Source organism: Homo sapiens, chromosome 4, assembly GCF_000001405.40.
Source record: "Homo sapiens chromosome 4, GRCh38.p14 Primary Assembly".
Classification (NCBI taxonomy): Eukaryota; Metazoa; Chordata; class Mammalia; order Primates; family Hominidae; genus Homo; species Homo sapiens.
The window spans coordinates 22398946-22425180 of NC_000004.12; the positions used below are offsets into that span (position 1 = coordinate 22398946).

The 26235-nt window shown below is 36.0% G+C and overlaps 1 protein-coding gene across 6 annotated transcripts in view, besides 1 other annotated feature; it reads right to left on the reverse strand.

Annotated features, from left to right (window-relative positions):
• The window catches only part of ADGRA3 (adhesion G protein-coupled receptor A3), a 128691-nt gene that overhangs the window by 11570 nt on the left and 90886 nt on the right, over positions 1 to 26235 (reverse strand). For all 6 annotated transcript variants that reach the window (XR_007096381.1, NM_145290.4, XM_047449703.1 and 3 more), the window contains 6 exons: positions 25246 to 25407; positions 21941 to 22144; positions 14656 to 14869; positions 14237 to 14445; positions 3730 to 3854; positions 2486 to 2609 (listed from right to left, as the gene is read on the reverse strand). Coding sequence is in view for 5 of the 6 variants with exons in the window: in NM_145290.4 (NP_660333.2) it covers positions 2486 to 2609; positions 3730 to 3854; positions 14237 to 14445; positions 14656 to 14869; positions 21941 to 22144; positions 25246 to 25407 (1038 nt within the window). In the remaining variant the exon portion in view is untranslated. The remainder of the gene's footprint in view (positions 1 to 2485; positions 2610 to 3729; positions 3855 to 14236; positions 14446 to 14655; positions 14870 to 21940; positions 22145 to 25245; positions 25408 to 26235) is intronic.
• Positions 17428 to 17628: a silencer, noted in NCBI's record as "peak5007 fragment used in MPRA reporter construct". NCBI's record gives its function as "represses an SCP1 promoter by STARR-seq MPRAs in K562 erythroleukemia cells {active_cell/tissue: K562}" and the evidence as "EXISTENCE:reporter gene assay evidence [ECO:0000049][PMID:32103011]".

A 26235-nucleotide genomic window follows, 5' to 3' on the forward strand; every position in this document is an offset into this window, starting at 1 on the left:
AGGCAATGCCTCCCAGGGGACGTCCGCTTACATTCCCACCAACTATGTAAAAGGATCCTGTGGGTCCACATGTTCATCAAGACTTGGCATTGTCAGGCTTAACTTCTGCTGATGGAAAAGGCATAAAATGGTAACTAATTGTCTTCATTGGCATCTCCATGACCCCCATGCTGTTGAACATTTCTGCACACATGTGCTGAACCCGTGTGTTCGCTCTTCTACGACATGCTCATCCATTCTCCTGCTACTTTTTCTTCTGACTTGTTGTGATGTTCTCACTGATTATAGTTACTGATATATTTTTTACTCAAATGCTCTGTTAGTTGTGTGGATTGTAAACAGATTCCTCCAATTTGTAACTTACCTTTTCAGCTTCTTTAAGGGCTCTTGATAAATACAAGTTCTTATTTTTAGTCAAAATTATTTTTTTTCTAGTGGATGCCTTTCACTGTCTTATTGGCCTTCCTTATCTTAAGGTCTCCAACTTTTTTTTAAAGGGTTTTAAGATTTTGGTTTGGATATGTAAGTCTTTAAACCACCTAGAGTTGACTTTTTTTTTTAATGTGGCATGAGGCATTAAAGACCCAGTTTAATCTTTTTTCAAATGGATTTTCTCCAGCTCCATTTACTGAATGGTGGTCTCTCTTCCCCAGCTGACAAGGCACATCATCCCCTCTGTTGTACATCAAAGTTCCCATGGGTCTGCCTCTGGACTCTCCATTCTATCCCATTGGCCAATTTATCTCTGCCTACTGCTAATACCACACTGGTTTCATTTCCATAGCCTCATAAACCCTGATGACTAGAAGACAGTCTTCTGGCTCTGCTCCTCTTTTTTATTAGTGTCTTGTCTTTCTTTGGTCATTTATTTTCACATAAATTTAAAAATCATCTTATTGAGTTTCATAAAAAATTCTACAGATTAATCTTAAAAGGAATGGTCATCTGGCTAATATTAAGTCTTCCTATCCTTTGACCTATTATATCTTTCCATTTATTTAGGTCTTCTTTAATACACATTTTAATTTTACCCATAAATCTTGAACATTTTTCATTATTTCTAGATACTTGATAGTCTTTGACACCATGTAAATGCTACCTTCTCATTATGTTTTCTCATAGTTGTATTTCTGCACACTAGCAGTTCGTCTCTGCTAAACGTTCCTATTAATTCTAATAACTTGTGTACATAATCATATCATCCAACAACTCGATTATCATTCCCAATTTATAGGTGAGAAAACTGAGACACAGAAGGGTTAGACATTAAAATCAAAATCTCAAAGAGATACCTGCACTCTTGTGTTCCCTGAAGCATTACTCACAGTAGCCAAGAGATAGAAACAACTTGTATGTCCATCAACAACAAATAGATAAAGAAAATGTGGTCTCTACATACAATGGAATATTATTCAGCCATAAAAAAGAGGAAAATCATATTCACCAACATAGATGAACGTTGAAACATTATGCTAAATGAAATAAGTAAGTCAATGAAGGACAAATACTGCATGATTCCACTTATATGAGGTATCTGAAGTAGTCACAACTCATAGAAGCCAAGAAGAAAATGGTGACTGCCATAAGATTGGAGGAGAAGAAAAAAGGGGTCGTTGTTCAATGCATACCGAGTTTCAATTATACAAGATGAAAAGTTCTAGGTATCTGCTGTACAATGTTGTGCTTACAGGTAACAATACTGTACTGTACAGTGAACAATTTGTTTACAGAGATCACATGTTATATATTTTTTTAATTACAGTTTTAAAAGCAAACAAAAGAAAAAAAAAAGGTTAAACAGATTGCCCATAGAAACACAGCCGATAAATGGTAAAGTGAAATCCAAATCCAGGCAGCCTGAACTTTCAATTACTACGTTATACTTCTTGCTATCATGCATGTGAAAAAAATATACAAACAAAGAAATAAAATGTTACGTATTTTCTATTCATAGATTGAAGAATTTCCATTTTTATATTTATGCTGCAAGAAGACTATTCACTAAGCCTACATATGTAATAATTTATTGGAAACAAAGAGTAAGATATTTTTAAATTCTTCATATTTATCTAACCTAGTGTCATTTTTATATCTTTATGATTAACTCTTTTTCTAATTTTTGTTTTCATCAACACATAAAATAATTTTTAAAATTCTACTATCAGAAAATGTCACTTCTCTTTCAGCCAAAGTCAGAATTTCATACATTTTAAAAATAAGTAACAGGCATTGTAATAATAGCCATAACGTGTAACACTAAATTCCCAATGATAAAGGGATGAGCTGTTTAAGTTATATATTCAGTTGCAAAATGGTAATTTAAAACAGGAAGTAAACTGGCAGATTGTTTAAGTGACAGACAATAAATTTAACTTTAATCAGTTAAAGAAAAGGTATTAAAGAATGATTTTTTCTTTTTATAGTTAATGAAATTATCTTCTAATACCAGTAATTTTTTCCATTTCGGTTTTTCACTCTGACTTACTGCTTGGCAGATGCTGGCATTCCTAGTCTGGGTTATTCCTCCCACAAAGACCACACAGGTTAGGAAAATATGAAAGCACAAGTTCACAAGCATGTGCCAGCTCTTGAGGCTGATTCTAATCAAACTGTTTAAAAAAGAGAGAAAATATTAATATTCAGGCTAGTACATAAGGAGAAAACTATGATGTTCATCTTAATTCCAACTTCATCAAAGGTAAAAGTTAAATATTTGATATTTAAACATTTAACAAACATATACTACCAGACACACACACACATACACACACGCACAGATCTGAGACATCATTTAACTCGATCTCGTTTCTTAACATTTAACTTTATGCACTTAAAAACAAAAAGCCATTTATAGAACCACTGCACCCACTAAATGCTAAAGAAATTCTCCACAATAAGAAACGCATGGGCTTTTGTTACTACGATGTCTTAAGATGACTGGATTACCTGCTTGGCCACCTAGAGATTTCTGCAAGATGCCAATGGGTCTTTTTTTGACCCACTGGCGCAGGTCTAAACACTCAATGCATTTCTTCCTGGACTTTCATAATAAAATGTTGAAGTCTTTCTTTTTAGTAATATATATCAAAATCTCCTTTTGTTTCTTAACTAAATGTCAAGAAATGCCATATATGTCTAGCTTAAACAGGAAGACACATTCTAGCAAAACGTTTTGTAAAGCGAATTTCTGCTTAGCGTATCCTTTTAGTTCATTATTTCCCACCACAAAATAAAAGTTTCTATAGCTTTGCCTCCGATTAACAAACAACATATCCCACGCTTAAATGCCACAAATTTTCTTAAAAATGTCATCTATAAAATAAAGAATATCATAATAGGCAAAAAGTCATAAAATAAGAGTAATAGTACAGTCTGATACTTAGAGACACCCCTTTAGGTACCTCTGCAGGTAAGAAACTTCCGCCTCACTTTACCTCCTATTGCGCCTGTGACCCGCCCCACAGTGTCCAATACCTATTGCCCATATTCTTTTCTAGATACAAACCCAGCAAACTGACTGGATGCTGTAAAAACAGAATTTATCATCTCAAATACTAATTATTTATGTTTCTAATGGCATGAAATGAAGGCATGTATATATTCTAAAGTCATCATCCTTACTTTGGAAATACAGGATGATAACAAACTCAATTTTATCCTAATTAAATGTGAAATAAAGTCCTTCAAATCAAAGTCCGCAGATCTATTTTGTCGAGATGTATTTCTTACCTGTGATGGTATATGTAACTGACAATGACGGCTAAGAGACATAAGAGGAGAATGATAGCGGTAGTATAAACCACAGGATGCAGGAGGCTGGCCGCCTGGGTGTATAGTTCAGATCCCGTCAAATCCTGAGGGCAAAAAGAAAGATCCATTCTAGCAGTACTTCTCTCCACATTTAACTACTGAGATTTTTTTGAGTGACGAAAACACATCAATAAACAAAAACTCTGGCCCTTATGTCTCTTTATTTTATTCAGACTAATGTTTCACGCTATTTTCCTAACATGTTACTTTGCTTTCCTAACTTCTATGGTGTTAACTGCTTACGGCATACCCTCATTTTACACTGGACCATCTATTTTATAAATTGAAATATTGACTCTGCTATGAGGGTAAAAGAGAAATCAGCCCCCTACATTTAGGCAATTCAGAAAGCATAACCAGAATTCATCCTTTTCAATGCCCTTTAAGCCCAGTTATCACTCTGCATAATCACTAGCTGATCAGACACAATGAGAGCAGTATCTCTGAGGCTACAAAGCCCAAAGACACCTAACTATCCGTAGCCAAGTTCAACTTCAAGTTCCTCAAATACAAACGGACCAAACACTGCATAGGGCATTGGAGACATAACGGTAAGACATGGTTCCTGTCCCTGAAGAGGTGAAAATCACAGGGGAGACACATGTACAATCAGATCATAACAATGTTTGATGAAGATAAGTCAAGCACAATTACGGCAGCAGAGAGGAAGAGCCCTGTAAGAGCTCAAAAATCAGTAAATGGCTGAGCACAGTGGCTCGCACCTGTAATCCCAGCACTTTAGGAGGCTGAGGTGGGCAGGCTTGAGCTCAGGAGTTCGAGACCACCCTGGGCAACACAGGGAGTTTGCATCTCCACAAAAGATATATTTTAAAAACTTAGCCAGGCCTGGTGGTGTGCGCCTGTAGTTCCAGCTACTCGGTAGGCTGAGGTTGGGAGGATCACTTGAGTCCAGGAGGTCAAGGCTGCAGTTAGCTAAGATAGCACCACTGCACTCCAGCCTGGGCCACATAGTGAGAACCTTTCTCAAAAGAAAAATAATTTAAAAAAATAAATAAGCAATAACAGCACGTCACTTATAGAACATTAGACATTGACTGTGAACAATCTAGGCACTGACTGTGTCCAGCACCATAACTGTATGAGGTAAGTATGTTATTAGCCCCATTTTATATGTTAAAAAACTGAGGCACAGAAAATTATGTGCCTTAAGGATTAGATTCAAAGGAGCTTGGCTGCCAAGTCCTTGCTCCCAAAAACAATGCAGACACTGCCTCTCCGAAATGAAAACAATGGGCATCTTAATGCTACTCTCTTTATAAAAGACCAAAGCAAGTTGGAAAGACACCTCTACCCTGGCCACCATGCCAGATAACCTGGGTTGTAAGAACCACATCCCTTCACTAAATTCTCTTTCTGCACTGACTCTTATAGCTAAAAAGTGACTACTGAATAAGCGAAGGAGCCCACAGTGGATATACCTCCAATTAGGAAGCTGTTATTAATAAAATATCTGAAACAAGAAAAGCTAGATTAAAAAAAAGAAAGGAAGAGAATAAGTGACAACCAGACAAGGAAATGGAAGATGACCTCAATAGAGTAGGAAGGGAAGGGGCAAATTTTCCCAAGGTAGAATCATAAGTTCACAATCTACAATTACAGATCTAAAAAGATGGTATCAGGATGCCTAACAAACTCCTCACCTTGTCAAATGATGAACAGTTAATGACAAAAACCACAGTAAGTGGGAAGCAGAGATGAGAACAGAGGAAACTGAATTCCAGCTAGACTACTCAACTATACTATGATGAGCCTCTAACTTACAATTCACCCATTTACTTGACAAATATTGAGTGCCGGCCATGGTCAGGCACAGTACCAAGTAATGGATATACAGGGATAGACAGAACACAGTTCCAACCCTTGGAGGCCCTGCAGTCTGTAAATTAAGTACACAAAAGGGAAAAGACCAGAGAAAAGCGTGTCAGGACCAATTCTGAGCAATTTGCCTTTGTGAGATGCCCGTAACACTAGCCTGTAATACATGGCCTCAAAATAGTTGCACTCTGTTAAAAGTCCAGAATATTAGTAGGGAAATTCAAAGAAATGTTGGGATAATGAAAACCAGTTAGATGCTAGTGAGAAGAGACATATTTTCCTCCAAATTCAATGAAAAGCTTCTATTCCAGTACAGAACTAATAACTGAGGATAAACTTTCAATATCTAGTTTAGCTTCTCAAGTCCTTTTGTAGCAGTGCCTGCTTTAGATTACTGCAGGAAATGTTCAATAACATGTTGCCACTTACCAGCTATAAGACTTGAGGCAGTTACCTCACTGTAAAATGGAGGCTCCTCTAATCATCTTAGGGGGGTTGGAGAAGGGGTAGAAGAAAGGTGGTAAAAGTGCATCCCATAGCCCTTGGCAGAAAGTAACAATATGGGGAGCTGGATACCATCGAATAAAACATTCGACTAAAAGCCGATTTAGTTCTCAAAATATACTCTATATGGCATTCAAGTTTAGAAGAAATCAGTTATTTTTGGCCAGGCACAGTGACTCATGCCTAGAATTTCAGAGTTTTGGGAGGCCCAAGGCAGGAGGATTGCTTGAGGCCAGGAGCTTGAAACCAGCCTGAGCAACACAGTGAGATCCCATTTCTGCAAAAAATAAAAATAAAAACATTAATGGGGCATGATGGCGCGTGCCTGTAACCCCAGCTACTTGGGAGGCTGAAGTGGGAGGATCACTTGAGCCAGGGAGTTTGAGGCTGCAGTGAGCTGAGATTGCGCCACTGCACTCCAGCCTGGGCAACAGAGCAAACCCCTATTTCTAAAAAAAAAAAAAAAAATTAAATTAAAATTAAAAGGAAACTGCTATTTTTCAAAAGTCAAACAAATGTGACACAGAATGAAAAAGAAACTAGATGTTGAAACAGAGGGCAACAATGACTGAACAAAGGCATGAGTACCTCTGTCACTGGTCGCACAGGGCACTGCTTCCACAGGGGCATTTTGTTCTCAACATGTTTTTATTGACACATAATTGTATATATTTATGGCATACATGTAGTATTTTGATCCGTACATATAACGTGTAATGACCAAATCAAATTGGGAAATATGAAATATGCAATAAATATGCAATAGATTTTTGATAACTATAGTCACTCTGCCATGCTATCAAACACCAGAATTTATTCCATCTGTACTTGGTTGTACTCATTAACCAACCTTACTTCACCCCCTCTTCCTAGACCCTTCCCTTCCCAGCCTCTGGTATTTTCCATTCTCCTTTCTACCTCCATGAGATCAACTTTTTCAGCTCCCACATATGAGTGAAAACATGCACTATTTGTCATTCTGTACCTGGCTTATTCCACTTAACAAAATAACTTCCAGGCTCATCCATGTTGCTGCAAATGACAAGATTTCATTCTTTTTTTATGACTGAATAGTACTCCTTGGTGTATATATACCATATTTTCTTTACCCATTTGTCTGTTGATGGACTGATGGACACTTAACGTTGATTGTTTATCTTGGCTATCGTGAATAGTGCTGCAGTAAATGTGAGCGCAGGTATCTCTTCAATATACTGATTTCCTTTCTTCTGAATATATACTCAGCAGTGAAATTGCTGGATCATACGGTAGCTCTATTTTTAGTTTTTCAAGAAACTTACAAACTACTTTCTATAATTATTGTACTAATTTACATTCCCACCAACAATGTATAAGAGTTCTCTTCTCCACATTCTGTTATTTTTTGTCTTTTTGATACAAACCACTTAACTGGGGTAAGGTATCTTATTGTGGTTTTGATTTGTATTTTCCTGATGACTAGTGATTGTGAGATTTTTTCATACACCTGTTGGTCATTTGTATGTCTTCTTTTCAGAGTATCTAGTCCGATCGTTTGCCCATTTCTTAAATCAAAAATTTTTTATGTTGAGTTGTTTCAGTTCCTTATTATTCTGTTATTAATCCCACAAGAGCATTTTTGACCTGCCCACACGCAAAGAGGTCTCCTGCCGAAAAATGAACCTAGGGAAAAGCATAGTATAAAGGGCCAGATAGTAAACATTGTAGACTTTGGGGGCCAAGAGGCAAATTAAAGCTGTTATGCAGGTAGTATTAACCATGTAAAACAGAACCACTAAAAAAATTAAAAGCCATTATTAGCTTTCCCACCTTAAAAAAAAAATATTAAAAGCCATTATTAGCTTTCCCACCTTTAAAAAAATCTGGCTAGATTGGGCAATACAAAAGAATATAAGGCCGGGCGCAGTGGCTAACGCCTGTAATCCCAGCACTTTGGGAGGCCGAGGCGGGTGGATCACAAGGTCAGGAGATCGAGACCATCCTAGCTAACACAGTGAAACCCCGTCTCTACTAAAAATACAAAAAATTAGCCAGGCGTGGTGGTGGGTGCCTGTAGTCCCAGCTACGCAGGAGGCTGAGGCAGAAGAATGGCGTGAACCTGGAAGGCGGAGCTTGCAGTGAGCCGAGATCAAGCCACTGCCCTCCAGCCTGGGCGACAGAGCAAGACTCCGCCTCAAAAAGAAAAAGAATATAAAAATATTTACGGCAATTGAGAATTTTAGAATACCAGGATAGTAAACAAGTTAAAGCTCTACAATGAGAGAGAGAAAGCAGAAACCTGAATCAAATTATTTTCAATTATGGTAGTAAATAAATATAGGCTTTATGATAACAAAAACATTACTAAACACACTATATAAAAATGGTGGTATGAGACACCTTTGAGTAGAAAAAGTAAAACTGTTGCTCACATTTGCAACACAGTAATAAATAAAATAGAAAATGACTCTGCCCTCCAGCAACCACATGACCACAGTCCATCACTAAATAGTAATCTTAGTTCCTCTTCTACTCAGTACAAACTTTAATAACTAAGCCAAGAAATGAAAAATAAAGTTCTCCACAGAAGTTAGCTGAACTAATACAGAGAAATTAAACATCAAATGTGTGTTAAAAAATCACAAAGATGATCATTACTAAGGATTCAAATCAATGGAAAAAGTTTTTAGAACTGTTTACTTGTCAGAGATTCATATATTTACAAGTGTTACTTCAGGCCTCAGAATTACTGAATATAAAATCAGTGGACATTTTCCATAATTATCACTGTATCAATAAGAATAATTAAAATAAGCAATTGTCTAAGTACCAGGATCTGAACAATGGAAAGGAATCCAAAGAAAATATATCAGGGCATCCTGTGTGTAAGGGAATAAAGAATTATAATAAGAGTTTACCATTAAAATTTTAAAATAGATTGAAATCAGAAATGTAAAAAAACAAAAATGTTAAAAGACGACTATGACTTACTTCTATGTTGCTTTTTCCCCACTAAGGAACAAAGAATACAAATTTAAAGATTTTATTCTCCCTACCTCACATCATCAACAAAAAATCAATTCCAGTCAAATTACAGAACTAAATATAAAAGGTAAAACATATTAAAGCTTCTGAAGAGAACAAAAAAGAAGATCTTCATAATCTTGGGGTAGAAAAATTTCTTAAACAGCATTAACTAAAACAACAACAACAACCAAGAAATTGTACTTCAGAAAATTTAAGAAACTCTGTTCATAAAAAGACAATATTGAGGAAAAAAAAAGGCATGAACTGGGAGAAGATGTATGCAACACATAAATCCAACAGGGAGCTCATATTCAGTACCCATATTAAGAAGTCCTATAAATAATTAAGAAAATGAAAGACAACAAAATTAAAAATAGGCAAGACTTGAGCAGGAACGTCAGGAAAAGGGGATATCCAAACTGCCAATAAAAAGCTAAAGAAGTGCTCAACATCAATAGTCACCAGAGAAATGCAAATTAAAACTAGAATGATACATCACAACACTACCACCAGAAGACTAAAACTGAAGATTGACAATTCCAAGCATGGTCAAAATGTAGAGCACCTGGAACTCTCATTACTGTTGAGACTGTAAACCAACATAACCACTTTGGTCAACTGCATGGCTTTAGCTACTTAAAGCTAAACACATGGAAAGCCTACAATCTAGCAATTTCACTCCTGAGTGTACATGTCCATCATAAAACATATACATGAGTACTCACAGCAGCTTTTTCTTGACACCCAAAACCTAGAAACAGAAATGGCTATCAATGATAAAATGAACAAACTTTGGCATATTGATACAATGGACTGCTACACTGCAATGGAAAAGAATAAACTGCTGCTAAATGCAAAAATGAAGATAAATTCCAACCATGTAATGACAGGAAAGAACCTGACACAAGTGTACATACTACACAACTAAAGTCTAAAAACAGGCCAAACCTATCTATAGTGAGAGACATCAAAAGGGTGGTTCCTGGAGATGGTGGCAGGAACTGACTAGAGAGAAACACAGGAGCACTGTCCAGCACTCTACTACAAATCTTGTTCTTATACATTCTTTTGTAAAAATATAACCAATATTTGTGCACTTTGCTCAATACCTCAATTTAAACCAGTTGGTCCCTTTGATTATCAATTCCACTTTGGAGAATTTGTCTCACAGATGCTCAATTAAATGTGCAAAATGACACTGTACAAACCACTAGAAACAAACACAATAGAGAAATATCTAAATAAATTATGGTAGAAACATAATATTCAGAGATAAGAAAGAATGAGGAAACTCGTATATTGAGAGGATTTCAGAAAGGAGACTTAGCAGAGGGATTATTAACACAGATCCCAAAATGAGACTGTGAATTCAAATCCCAATACCAGCACTAGCTTTGTGAGCATGGCATTTAACCTCTCTCTGCCTCAGTTTCCACATCTGTACAGTGGGGGTGATGACAGTACTATTTCTCATGAGGCTGTTATAAGAGCTGAGTAACTGAATGTATATAAAGACATCAGAGGAGTGGCTGACACATAAGTGCTTAATAAAGATTGGCCACCACTACCACCATCACCATCCTCTTCTTTAAGATACATTATCACCATCATAGTTAAGAAATGTTGCTCTACAGAAAAAAGCACGGTTTAGAACAGTGTGTGTAGTATGCAACCTTTGTGCAAAAATGCAAAAAAATAGGAACATATACTCATTTTTGTTTCCATAAACACGAGGGTCTCCTCAACAATACGCGAGAAACAAACAGTAGTTACTTATCAGTGTGATACGAGAGATAGGTAGGACTTCCAGCTTTCACTGTATGTTAATGTGTAGAAATAAATAAAACATTACATCCATGTGAGTATAGTACTTATTTTAAAATTATTTAAACAAAAACATCACTAGCATTTATGTTCAATTATAGAGTAAATGATATCAAAGTTGCTTTGAATACCATTTTAATCTATAAAATGACATATTAAGATGGTATTCAGCATGTTTTATATAAACAAATGTAAAAGAATCACTAGAAAAAGAAAATTAATGAATGCTCTCTAGTTTCATATTTTTAGGTGAACACAACAAAAGAGGAATCAATGTATATAAATTAGCTTATCTTCACCACTAGTGATTAAAGTATTAAGCACTACATAGTTTGAACCTAATCATAACCCTACTTTCTATTCAGTTTTCTTTCTTTGTTTTTTCCTACAGACACCAGCTCCTGTGAATCTTCCTGCCCCACCTGGCTATTCCAGATCATATCATTCAAGCAAACCTAATTTCTGCTTAATTTTTTTTTCTGGCTCCCAATGAGACCTTAGTAAATAACTGGTATAGCAGGATGTATACTCAGATTTATGAACAAGTATATTCTTTATGTCGCATTTTTTAAAAATTCAAAACTCTTAAAATCAGATAAAGGAAAGTTTTATGGACTATATCCCAAGATAGGAATTTAGACTTACTATATAAAAGGATATATTAAGATGGTATTCAAGAGACATAGGATTTTATCAATTTTTAAAAGCTTAATATAAGGAAAAAAGACACTGCTTTCTAATTTGCTTTCTAATTTTTTAAAAACAATTTTTTCAATCCTAAACATAACTTTACCTAAAAGTGGGTATAATTTCATTAACTTTTTCTTTATGTTTAATTAGCAACTAACTCCCATGCAGTAACTTTAATTTTGTCAACAATTTCAAATACATTTCTCTTTGCTGCCTCTAGATGGCACAATTACATTTAAGAAAAGGAAAAAGTCTTTGAAAATAAATAGAAAAAAAATCTTAGTACTACAGTATTTTAACTTTAAAGAATTGTGTATTACATTTTTTTAAGAGATTAAAAGTCTGAAAGATAAAAGAATAGCTTATTCCTTCCAGAAAAGGATTATACTAATTTAATAGTTTTGAAGAACAGCTAGGAAGTTCACAAATAGATGCTTTAAACTGGTATTAGACTAAATAAAAATAAAAGTTTCACATGGTGCAATATCACAGCGAAGGCTTATAAAATGCATTTTTGTGTATGTTTTGTGTTTCATTTATTTTGCTCAATTTTTTCTTGTTAACTTATAAATTTCTGACAATGTTGAATATTATTTCTCATCAGTACATCACAGTTTATTTTATATTCAAAACTGAATGAGAAAACACTTTCAAAATGGAAGAGAAAATGCCACATACTTTAACGCTTCATGCTTTAATTTAAAAGGTGGCAGTGGCTCATGCCTATAATCCCAGCACTTTCCGAGCTTGAGGCAGGCAGATCACTTGAGTCCAGGAGATCAAGACCAGCCTGGGAAACATGGCAAAACCCAGTCTCTACTAAAAATACAAAAATTAGCCGGGTTTGGTGGTGCCTGCCTGTAATCCCAGCTACTCAGGAGGATGAGGTAAGAGAATCACCTGAGCCTGGGAGGTAGAGGCTGCAGTGAGGCGAGATTGCACCACTGCACTCCAGCCTGGGCAACCTGAGTGAGACTCTGTCTCAAAAAAACAAAAAATAAATATAAGTTGACTACACAATAATAAAATGTGAACTTATAGAAACCAGACTCATGCTTACAGAAATCAAGACATCTTCCATTTACAAAGAGAATCAGAATCATAAACTGTCAACACTAAAGTTAATCCCAATTGAATAAAGGTCCTTTATATATACAAATATACAAATATAGCCGAGTCTATAAACATACATGTTTAAATATGTTGCTTGCACTTGTATAAAATGCTCAATTATGTCAATGAAAAGATAATCCCTTTACTCTGATAAATAATCTATTCACCTTTCTGCTTGCTTGACCTGTGTACCAGGTAAGGTATAAGTTGAATTGAAACAACAACAACAACAAAAAAAAACATACAAGAGTCAAAGAAAATTATTTATAATTCAGGTTTACTTCAAGATCATTTCTAGTGCTAAATGCTATTTTTTTAAGAAAAGAAAAATTCATGAAATGTAAAATATATCATGTTTCAAGGTATTTAGCACTTTGATAAAACATTTTCTAGAAAACAGATTTACAGCTGGAATCAGAAATAACATAGAAGTTCCTCACACCCAGAGTAACCTCAAACCATTTCTGGGAAATGTCTTTCACACTCGTCAGTAATTCCTTCCACCGTACTCTAAATATACTCCTTGATGTCAGTATTTATAATAATTACAATATAAAATAAGAACTAGCATGGTTTATTTCATAATTATCTGCTCAGACGTCAGATTCACTTAAAGACCTCATTAATAAAAACACTTGCTCCTGTACATTAATAACTGTTATTTTACCCCCCAAAAATTACAGGTTGAGTATCCCTAACCCAAGAATCCTAAATCCAAAATGCTCCAAAATCTAAAACTTTTCAAAGAAAATGCTCCTTGGAGGATTTCAGATTTTTGGATTAGGAATGATGAACTGGTAAGTGATAATGCAAATATTCCAAAATCTGAAAAAATCCAAAATCCAAAACATTTTTAGTCCCAAGCATCTCAGATAAGAGATAAGACTCAACCTGTAATTAGTGTTAACAACGGCAAATAACAGAAAACAACACTAGACTGGCATTAAAACTGAAAAGACATTCTTTGTGTCAATACTGTCACTTGCAATGACAAAAATGAAATTATCATGATTAATTCTAAATTTAAATAGAGTCTAACAATTACGACATGTAGTGGGAAACAGCGCTAGATTGCAAAGTAGGAAAATGTTCTTTCACTACTCACTGTGTATCCTTCGGCAAATGAAATCACTCTTTCTGGGCAGAGGGAATCTGCATCAACAGTCTCTCCAAGTTTTAAGGTCAAAGACTAACTGAACTGATTGACTTATAAAGTTGATTTAAAATTCCTATATACCAAACTCAATCCCATACATTTCACTTGGTAGTAACTTAATTTCCCTTTAAAATCAAAATTAGAACACATATCATCTCATATAATCAAAGGGAGCAAATTATGTTAAAAGTAAAAAAAAAAAAAAAACAAAAAACAAAAAAACACTTCATTTGAGCTTAATTATGCATAGCAAAAATGTAGAATAGTGTTTATGCATAAAGTTAACAACTGCCATACCATTAAAACTGCATAGTTACTAAGGGAGTAGCACTGAATCGTAGTGATATTTTCATCTGAATAGAGTATATGGCACCCATCTGACTTCCAGCCTCCTTGTCCGTTCAGCAAATCGAAATCCCACCGGGCTGCAACAGCATCTGCTCCATGTGCAATTCGACGCAGTGTCACATTAACAGGGATGTGGTGGGTATCTACATTCACACCATCTGGAGAAAATGGGAAATAAAAATATTTCTGAAACAAACTTCATAACCAATTATAAATGTCAACTTCTACAGTAATGGGTACTCTGCAAGATCTTTCTTCACTAGTGACTCATTAAAACGAGAAAACACTAAAATAAGCATTTTTAGGAACAGTCAACTACAAGGCCTTATTGTCCACTGACTACAGGATAACATATGCCACATACAAACCTATTTTGGTGAGAATCACAGGGGTAACCACAGTACGTCGTTTTCCATCATCAGCCAAATTTGTTGAATTTCCAGTGGCTGGAAAAAGCTTTCCATTGCGGAATGCAATGAGTTGAAGCTTGTAAAGAGAGTCATCAGTTGGTCTGAGTTCTCTTTTTTGCTTTGGTGAGAAAAGGGAAGGAGGAAGCTGAATAGAAGCCTCCACAATAGTATTCTGAAAAAATATATATACATAAAAAAAGCTCACTACATTAGTACATAGAAACCAGAAAAAAATATGTCAGATAGTTACAAAAGTGGTATAATTAGGTTGACTTCATTTTTTAAATTGGATATACAAAATTTAACAGTTAAAAAAATCATCAGTCAAGCGAAATGTCAACACCACATAACATAGATTAAAAGAAGTATAAAACAGAAATGCAAACTTTAAAGAGTTAAATAAGTAAACAAGAAAAGTGTTTCAAATTAACAAAGTTAATTTTCCCATGATATTATATGTTGAAGTAGATAGCATTAAACAGATCAAGGATCTCAATGATCAGGCTGTATCAATTTTACAATGATAAAATATGATAAAGAAGCACAAATGTAGCATATCATAAATATGAGTATAATTAATTTGGGCTTATGGAACTTTAAGGTGATTTATGATGAATTCAAACCTCCACACAACAAAAGAATGAAATTATACAAACATAATAGAGGTTTAGATTCAGTACACTTAGCAGAAATTTCCTTGAGACTAGGAAACACATTTAGAAAAAAAAAATAATAACACATAGGAACAACTGAAAATGCTGACTGATCACTGAATTTTTTCAGATTTCTTTATTGAGGATTTTTAAATAACAAATTATTCAGCATTCAGTAAAAAATATATATATACCAAAGAAGTGAACAATTAACCATCTAAAAACATTCCATAGTTGAAGAATTTATTGTACAATCTTTTTCTTGGCTTCTAACCTCTCTTCTTCTAATTCCATATTCACCGGAATTTCCCCTTAAGAAACAAATCGAATCATGTTATTCCAGTTTAAATAACACCTTGGTTTTGCAATGTTTAATACTAAGCCCAAATCCTAAGTTCACCATATAATTTGATGAAAATCTATTGCTCAGATGTATCCCCTGAATGCTCCTATAGCACAACCTAAAACACAGCTACACTGAGTTATCAATTTAAGTTCTCCTATATTCTTTTTATGCCACCATGCTCACTGCACAGACCAGCATCTCTACCTGAAATGCTCCACTATTCTTTCATCTCACAAACTTTTGAATTGGTGTAACGGAAAGTGGATTAGAATGAAAAACGTTGGCAGCCAGGGGGAAGACTTTATACAGAGTCCTTGAAACAGGGCTTTTTTGGACAGTTAATTGCATCTCCTCAGTATATTGCATCTTCAGATTAGCTGCTTCCTCTTCTGGACTCACACAACACTCTGCACACATTAGTCATAATACACACTTGCAGTCCCCCATGATGTAGCTCACTGTCTGCTCCTCAAGCCAGAGTATGAGGATTTGGGGTGCAGTCAATCTCACTCACTTTTTGAAACCTCTATGTTAATAGTTCCTACCACTTGCATTTGATCAAAATAATCCACTGTTTGTGAAATGAACAATGTCTGTATGGCATGTTTATTTTAAAAACAATTCTACTTAAGCAAATGATTGACTTTAGAATTAATGATGTTAGATCACAGCAGATACCCATAAATATCTTTTCAATGTAAGTATTTTAGATGTTTGTATATTACTTTTAAATTGAAGATGCCAAGAAAATATTTAGTAGAAATATTTTGAGAAGACGCATAAAAAGGTTCCTGCTATTCTCACTCACAAATATAATCTAATGTGAAAAATATTATAAATTTATTCACTAATCTAGATTTCCATTAAGTACACAAATTTCTCCTAAGTACATAATGACACATGCAAAGAGAGAAAACAGATTAGTTAAAAGTTCAAAATCGTGATAAAGTATTACATAATGCACATTTATTAAAACTCAAGTACTATAAAATTCATAAAATAATATCGTTATACACACAAAATGACTTGAAAACAAAGCATGGCTCTTTGGGGAAGTATTAGTAACGATAAATCAAATTGATTTAAAACAAATCATTTACATTTTTTAAAAGAAAGTTAAAATAGGGAATAACATCTATACTTTCTAGAAGTTAGAAAAGGTCTCCTACACAAGTTTAAATCTGTAGAACCAATTAAAAAAAAAACAATGTACAAAAAACCAGGAGTATGGACATATTACTGGGTAACCAGAGCTATATACTCATGGCTGTTACATATTTAAGGCTTCTAAAATATCCTTCCAAGTCCAATACAAACATTACTAAATAATAACTGCAGGTTCCCTGAGATATAGAGAGTGGCCTAGGGTGCCGATAAGGTAAACTTCAGCCGTATCAATAATGTTTAGACTTTTATACTAACAATGGAATACTTGTGTATTTAATTTCTTTAAAAGAAATGTTGATCATTATTTACAGAAAGGTTGTAAATCTATTAGTCACCGCAAAACACTTACTTCATTTGGTGCATTTATCATGAATATACCTTCTTCCACCTGGCCCGAGGGTGGCAAGCACAAAGTTTGTAAGTTCATTTAACCATACATTTATTTTAAAATATATGGATTATATCAATGGAAACAGATAACAAACACACGAATGAGAGGTAATAAAGTAGAAAAATCTCTCTTAAGATCCTTTGGGAAAAACAAGTTTTCGGTTTCCAGTATTTACTATTGAAAAATCATATACCATGTAGAGAACATGAGATCTGAAATAAAGGATTTGGGTTCCAGCCTCACCACTTAGCAGCTGGTTAACACTGCACGACTTTGTTTAACCTCTCTGAGTCTCATCTGTCAAACACAGCTAATCATCTTTGTAACAAATGGTTGTGAGGACCAGATGGGATCAGGACCATGACAAGCACAAAAGTCTAGGGAACTGTCGGTGGTATTTTTTACTGTTGTTACTGCAGCACAGTGGAAGATGGTTATCTGGGGACTGGGGGAGAGGAAATGCCTTAACTAAATTGCCAAGAATAATCTAGAACGTCATCATGTTTTGACTTCTACCATTCAGTTTCAGTGTTCATTTTAACACTAAAAATTGATGAAATATGAACACACAAGAAATGACTGTTACCACACAGCTGCTTTTTTTTGCTAAATTCATCTATATTTCACTATTTACAATGACACTAAGCTAAAAGGAAAATGATAAGCATAATGGAGGTTAATTCCAATACTTTCACTACATCTTAACATCTTTCCTTATCAAAAAATCTGGACTTCCTCCACTATGTAGTTAATAAAATTTTCAGAAATCTTTATGGGTTAAAATCTACAGTATTCTAACATGAAAATCAGAATGAGCCAAAGAAACATCTGATTCAAAACAATAAAATACTAATTTATCTATGTTTTCTTGACCACTTACTTGACTTTAAACAGACAGATGCTATAATATCTCCTAATTATTTTCTTGTGTATAATTATTAACTGCATACCACCTTTTGAGTTTCTCACTGAAGATTAACAGCAATTACATTTGACTTTAGAATTAATTTTTTAACTGACTTTGTTTGCTAATTAAGTTTGGCTGTTAATTTTATTCGACATTTATTGAATGTTTAGTTACTCTGGGCTTGGAACTATGCAGAGCCTGGAGACATAAAATGCAATAAATAAGCTGTGGTCCCTGTCCCCCAAAATTCATAGTCTAACAAAGGAGAGATAACAACAGCAACAAAACAGTAAGAGCTAATACTTACTGAGTGCTTACTCTGTGCCAGGCACTGTGGTGAATGTCTACATATTTACCTCACTTAATCCTCTCAACAACCCTTCGAGTTAAGGACCATTTCATAATCTGCATAACAGCCGAGAAACTGACATTCAGAAAGGTTAAGGTAGTTGCCCACATTTGCACAGCTGTTAAGTTGGGGAGAGAACCTGAACCCAGACTGTCTGGCTACAGAGAGACCACAGTCTTAGTCACTGTATCATATGGCCTCTCATTGCAGCTCGCTCCACCACTGTATCACCTTATAATTATTCTGAAGAATGAACAAAGCACAACGGGATTAACAGGCAATGGTTAATTCTGTCTGAAGAAGAGAAGGAAGAATCCAAAGGCAGTTTTAAAGGGAGAGTAGCAGGAATTTCACCAAGCAGGGATGGACTGGAAAAGTGCAAAAACGAAGGCAGGAAGCAAGAAGATGCATAATGACTAGCCTGAAAAATTCATGAGACTTCAGCTGGACTGAAGCTCTAGATGTCTGGGATGTGTAAAGAAAAACTGATTTCTAAATTCTAGTCAGGTGAAGTATAAAGAATTAATTATTTCTCCTTTTTGGCTACATTACACCTGAACTCAAAACACCAGCTTATTTCCAAAGCCCTCAGTAAAAGTAAAGTAGTTTACTGAAAACAGATACTATTTTGTTATGCTAACATATCTGAGTTATGGTATCCACAGTGAAAGGAAACATTTCATTGAGAAAAAATTGGAAGAGATTTGATAGATGCTGTCAGTAAGAGACAAGTATCAGGCAGCTCTGTCACCAACTGGTGACCAACTGAAGCCAGGTATGAAGTCACTGGTGATTCCAGCACTAGGCCTGCCCTCAGGCAACCAAGAAACCCATCTTGATTCTCAGGCTCCCAAATGTGACAGGCAATGAGAGAGAGATGAACAAGGCATTATGGGAAAAACGGGAAGAAAAATAAAGGAGACAAGGGTGGGAGTGGAGAACTGAATGAGATTAGGCAAAATTTCTTGGAGTGACATTTCTGCTGGGTGTTATCACCAAGGAGCTGGGAAGGGAGGGGAGGAGTAGGGATTCGAGTAGGAGAATTAGCACAAGCCTGCTTGAGAATGACCAGGTAGTAGGGAGAGGAACCAAGGAAAGTTTGCTGTTGCTGGATAAAAGGGAGAGGTGGGAAGTACTGTGGAGAGAGAGGGAAGACGTCAAATGATAAAGCTACTGAACAGTCTCTGGAGAGACATGAGACATTTATGAAGGGGTGCACAAGGTCAATTTCCATTTGGGGAGGATCCAGGTAGAATGCCCACAACATTAACAACCTGAAATGGCACAGGCATTGACAATCAGAACAGCCTGCACAGAAGGGAAGGCTCCCAGAGGCCTCCTGTTCTGCAGGCACCAGGCCTTCAGGTGTGAAATGGTGAAAAGAGAGGTCTGGGTGGTGGTCCCAACAGAAGAAGCAGGAGGGCTGAGGAAGCACTCAGAGAACTGGGGCAGCAGCTATTTGCTAAATAGTAAGGAAGTATTTCAATATTTTACTAAGTGGCATCGTTGTAGTGATACATGTTAGCTGAAGAGCCAGCCTAGAGACACAGAGACTCAAAGTTACCGTGGTTTGTGCAATACAGGATGGGAGTCCGAAGCAGGCTGAGGAGGGAGTATAGAGGGAAGGACAGAGATTCTGAAATATGCAGGAAGCAAATCAAGGAGGCACCTACTGCTAAATAATGACTGCCTCTTTATGGGTTTAACTTCACACACCAGCATATGCTCCCATTTAAAGGCAGTGCAATCAGTTTCTGGATGTTCAGGTTTTCTAGTTAGTATATTCAAGGGATTAAAAAAAAAAAGGATGCAAAGAAAGAGCAAAAACTGCCCTAGTATAAAATGTAAAATGTAAAGTTAGTTTTTTGTTCAAGCGCTAAAGCTTAACCACATTTTATGCCATTAACATTAGAATTTTTAACTAATTTTCTGTCACGAGGGATATGTTCCTTTTTCATTCAGTTTAATCGTGTCCACCTATGAAGCATGAATAATAGTGTAATGTGTCCTTGCTCTCTGGCCACAGGATGATCTTAAAAGGATAGAATGGCATGAAATTGACAAATCTGAGTGTCCATCTAAAGCCTTCTACTTTAGCAAGTAGAAACTCTCCTTACCCAGAGGGGTAGGTTGTGAAATTGATGAAATGTAGGGTTTCGTCATTTTTAATCCCTTTCTACCAACTGTGATCATCTAAGACAGAAGTGTTCATCAATTTTAAGTATTCCTCAAAAAACACACCTTTCTCTCATGGGTTTCTCTGTGTTGCTGTTTCTAGTCTTTTATAGTATGTTTGTGGTTTTTTTGTTTTGTTTTGTTTTTTTCCCCAATATAAGACACAATAAGGAAAGTTGAGCAGGTCCAAAGGAGTGTGGCACAGTGCATCAAATACTCTCTTAGCGCCAATATTAACAGGCAAATCTTGCCAATTTTCCTCTGAGTATAGGGTATCAAGTAAATATATTATTATCAGACATTTTGACCTAGTTGAGATTTTCTTGGGCAGTTGGGATTTTCTAAATTTAGCCAATTGGCTCTCTTTAATGGTGGTCACCAAGAAAAAGTATACAAAAATACACTAATTCGTTCATTCATTCAATATTTATTGAGTGCTCACACTAAACCAGAACACCTAACACCTGTTGGATCAGTTATTATGCAGCCATTAAAATGACTGGAATATTGTTTGTGATATTATTGAGGGACAAGACAGAAATAAAGTACTGTGAGATTAAAAACCGCAGAGAATACAATTACACATGCCCACAGAAAGCTAAGTGAAAAAAATGTGGTTCCATTAGGGTGCTGGAGTTGTGCCTCCTCTATTTGCTTCAATACAGTGTAGTCAAATATATCTAAAGCACCAATTTTAAAAATCAGTAAAAATGCTTTCATTTTGCTTGCTTCAATGAAATACTTTTTTTAAAAAAAGATATATGACATATTTGTGTTTTCTGCCAAAAATTTTGATATACAGCTTGCTTGATTAAACACCTGGTCTCAGGGTTGACTTCTCCACTAGGCTTGGCAGGCGCAGTGCCAAAGGCTCATGATACTTTTAGGGGCCCATGAAAACATCTTATTGTCTTAAAATCAGGAGCAAAAAAACAAATAAATAAACTTTTAAGTCAAATAAGATTTTTTCACATGTAACAATAGTATATTTGCATTTATACCACTGCAGTTATAAAATGTAATTTCTGATATTTTTATGTGAAGAAAGGGAATCAAAGGCAAAAATGCCTAGGGCCCTTGAAAGTCGTAATGCAGTTCTTCCTGGTTAGTTTTCTTTAAAACAGTAGCAAAAGCAATAATACCTATCTTCCTGCAAAAAAAAAATCTTTTAATAAGGTTATTTTGCGAAGCAGAACATTTGGAGCATTCTAATTTAACTGTAAATAGTCTTAAATGATTGCAGAATGTAACATACCTTTAGTGCCAGACTCGAAAATGTATTTGAAACATTGCACTTAAAGCTCAGCTGCTTATCCAGGTTTCCCTCTGGATCCCGCCTCCCATAATCCGAAAGTCCTGTACGATCAGAGGCTGCCACTTTCTGGAACACGGTACAGGTCATCCCCGTGAAGCCAGTAGACTTGATGACATAAGCTTCCAGAGCAATATTGGGTGAATACTTGAAAAGTCAATCAAACAGGAGTTATGAACGATTTATAGCACAAAGGAAAAGCACTTTCAAAGACTTTTCAAACACAAAACACTATGCATTAGCCAAACCAGAAAGCCCAGGTTCTTCCTAAACAAAATCACTGTGTAGATAACTGGCAGAATAAAAAAAAAAAAAGAAAGACAGACCCTGGAATGAAAAGGATGTCCTAAAATGGAAGGGAGACCAAAAAAAAGGAAAAGAAGAAGTCATGAAGTACAGAAGATCAGGTCTAAGAAGTCAATTAAAAATAATTTAAGGAGCACTTCGAAGGAAACAACAAGCTAAAAATGGAAGCATCCTGAAAAAAAATTCAGCTAGAGAAATCAGTGGACCCTCTAAATGCTCATCTTACAGGAAGAATGAGAGCTAAATATTAGTTTGGGAAATGCACTCGACACATCTGGCCATATTTACCTATTTCTTTCACAGGAAGATCATTAACTCTTTGCATTAAGTTTCACCAATAAAAGCTTTACACACTCTCCAAAGCTGTTTCTTCAGAAAAGGAAGACAGATGTTAATTTAAATAGTAGGAAATGGACAGATTTAAAAATCAAATTAGCCTGGTCAACATGGTGAAGCTCCATCTCTACTAAAAATACAAAAAATTAGCCTGGCATGGTGGCACACACCTGTAGTCCTAGCGACTCAGGAGGCTGTGGGAAGAGAATTGCTTGAACTTAGGGAGGCAGAGGTTGCAGTGAGCCAAGATTGTGCCACAGCACTCCAGCCTGGACAACAGAGCAAGACTCAGTCTCCAAAAAAAAAAAAAAAAAAAAAAAAAGCAAATTAGGTCAGAAAAATCATCTGAAAAGCAAATTAGGTCAGAAAAATCATCTGAAAAATATGGCACCTGCCCTAGAGTTTTAAAGGAATTCAGGAACAAAAGTGAACCAAGGGGAACCACCAAAACATACAACCTGTCAATACAGACAGCCACCAGGCCCACTCGCTGGAGGACAGAGTGGGCGTGAGAAGTGACAAGGAGCCACACCTTCACATCCAGCAGAGTGACAGGATTTACCGTAAATTCTAGGGACAACATGGCATCTCCCTCCTTTAAGGATGATTAAGTATATGCCTATCCCACAGGCAAGGCACCATTCTACGTATCACATATGGATGTCTTTTTCTTTAAAGTATGAAATTTTGATGCACGATGCTTACAATCTATTAGGAAATAAGATACAAATTTAAAAATACAAAAAGTAAAGTAAAATTTGGCAAGTCTTATGCATGTGAGAGAAAATAATTAGTGGTTCCCAAACTTTTCAAGCATAAAGAATCTTTGTATTAGTTTTTGCCTCACAATGTAAACACAGTGAAAAGTCTTTTTAATTCAACTTATTTGTTAATAATGTGTATTCTAATTTTTTGCTAGTCAAAGACACATGTAAACAACCACCAGATCTTCTGACAAGCAGCAGTCATTAGGCCCAACACATGAAACCTTGGTTGAAAGAAATCTGTCATTTTGAGGCACCTGTGAAGCCATATCATTTTACTTATTATACATAGATGTATCATCTCCTGGAACTTTGTTTACACATAGAGATGGTATGCAAATTCCTACTATGACCTTTATTGTACCCTTGGGTTGTCAGAAAAACGAATGCAGTTCAGAGAAAGGGGGGAAGTTCTTTCAGCTGATTAATAAGCATGGCTAAAGGATGAGATTTAAAATGGATCTAAATGGCGGAGGTGGACATAAATATGACAAGCTAGTCTCAACTGAGGTCATGAATCTGAGAGGGAAACTCCACTGACTTACATTACAAACACAGTGACCTAGCCAGGTGCGGTGGCTCACGCCTGTAATCCCAGCACTTTTGGGAGGCTGAGGCGGGTGGATAGCTTGAGATCAGGAGTTCGAGATCAGCCTGGCCAACGTAATGTAACCCCGTCTCTACTAAAAATACAAAAATTAGCCACACATAGTGGTGCTTGCCTATAATCCCAGCTACTTAGGAGGCTGAGGCATGATACTGCTTGAACACGGGTGGCGGAGGCTGCAGTGAGCCAAGATAACACCACTGCACTCCAGCCCGGGTGACAGAGCAAAACTCCATCCCCCCAAAAATAAATAAATAAATATTGAAAAAAAAAGAAACCACAGCAACAAAAAACAAAGACAGTAGCCATGCTGAGACTCCATTTATTATTCCAAAAAGAAAATACTAAACTTAATTGAGCAAAGGGAGCAATAAAACATGGTAACATCTAAAAAAGGTCTCAGAGATCAACAGGAAAATAGCAATCTTGAATTGTGTAAAATCACAGGAGGAAGTGTAGAATATTCTACACTATGTCAGCCCAGTAAAATAATTAGGAAATGAAAATCATGGACCAGATCAAACTATGATTGCTAAGGAAATATCACATTATTTACTGTATTCACCACCTTTTTAGGACGAAAAAGTAAGCAGTATATCAAGAAATTTACAACTGTTCAATTTATCATAAATAAAATTTAATACTATGTAATTGAGTGATCATTATTTATTAATAAGTCATTATCCCAAGAGTGGGATTGACTGAAAATGCCAATAGCTTCACAAGTGTTGGAAGGCATCCCAGTTCTCTTCTGAGATTGAAACCTGGGCAAACAATCAGATATTCTCTCAAAATATCCTTCAGGGCCCAGAACAGAGTATTAGGCTCAGATGGACTATGGGTATGTGCCAGTGGGGCAATACAATAGTGTTCTTATTTTCCATTGCAGAAACACTTTCGGTGGATTAGATGGTGATAAACATTCAAATTAAAGATTAAGAAAGTATTTTCCAGTTCCCAAGAAAACATTACTCAAAAGCAAAATTAACTTATAAAATGTTAGAAGAAATTCTGTAATAACTTATAAAATGTTATAACTTATAAAATGTTAAGAAGAAATTCTGTAATAACTTATAAAATGTTATAACTTATAAAATGTTAAGAAGAAATTCTGTAATAATCAGCAGTAAGAGAAGATATCCACCCCATAATGGAGAAGACACCTATCTCTTTCGGGTGAGAGCTGTGTGAAATGCACTTTTTTTCTCAGGAGTCTATGATAATGTTACACTTACTGTTGAATAAACGTGAGCTCCACCGGCTAGCCGGTAGGTAGCAATGCGCTGAAGACACTGCACAATCCTACTGCAGGCTTTAGCTTCCCTCTGCGCCAGCCACAGGACACGTTCATCAGCCAACATGATGTTACTTGCAATGTCAACCATCACGTCACCTAGCTAGCAGGGGTTCAGGAGAAAAAAGAAAGATCTTTAAAACCACCATAAACTATTTCGTAGAATCAAAATCCTAATGGACAGTGAGATTGGCCTTCAGTCTCAAATTCCACATGAGAACCCAACAGGCACTTTACTTGTTTCTCATGAAAACATCTTCAGATATGAACAGTTATTTCAAGTATAGCCATTTGGTGGTATTTAGCTCAAAAGAGCATATGTAAGTGGCCACCACATCACTGGTGAAAAGACTGCCAGGTGTTATCTCAAATGGAGGAAAAGAAAGGCAATTAGATTAATTAAAGAGAAGGAAAGGATGTCACACAATACCAGAATAAAAAGATCTTGACTGTTCATCTAGAAAACCATTTATAAACACTTCCTTTTTGTGCATGCATTAGCTTAAATCAAACTATTATTATTAAGAAATACACACCGCCAGCAGGGCGTGGTGGCTCACACCTGTAATCCCAGCACTTTGGGAGGCCGAGGTGGGTGGATCATTTGAGGTCAAGAGTTCGAGACCATCCTAACCAACATGGTGAAACCCCATATCTACTAAAAATACAAAACAAATTAGCTGGGCATGGTGGCCCATGCCTATAGTCCCAGCTACTTGGGAGGCTGAGGCAGGAGAATCACTTGAAGCTGGGAGGCAGACACTGCAGTGAGCCGAGATCGTGCCACTGCACTCTAGCCTGGACAACAGAGTGAGACACTCTTAAAAAAAAAAAAAAAAAGGCAGGCAGGCAGGCATACTACCCACCTCTTTAGTCTCTGCTCATATTCAACAATGCAGGGATGCCTAGCTACTGCTACGTCCTTGTATGT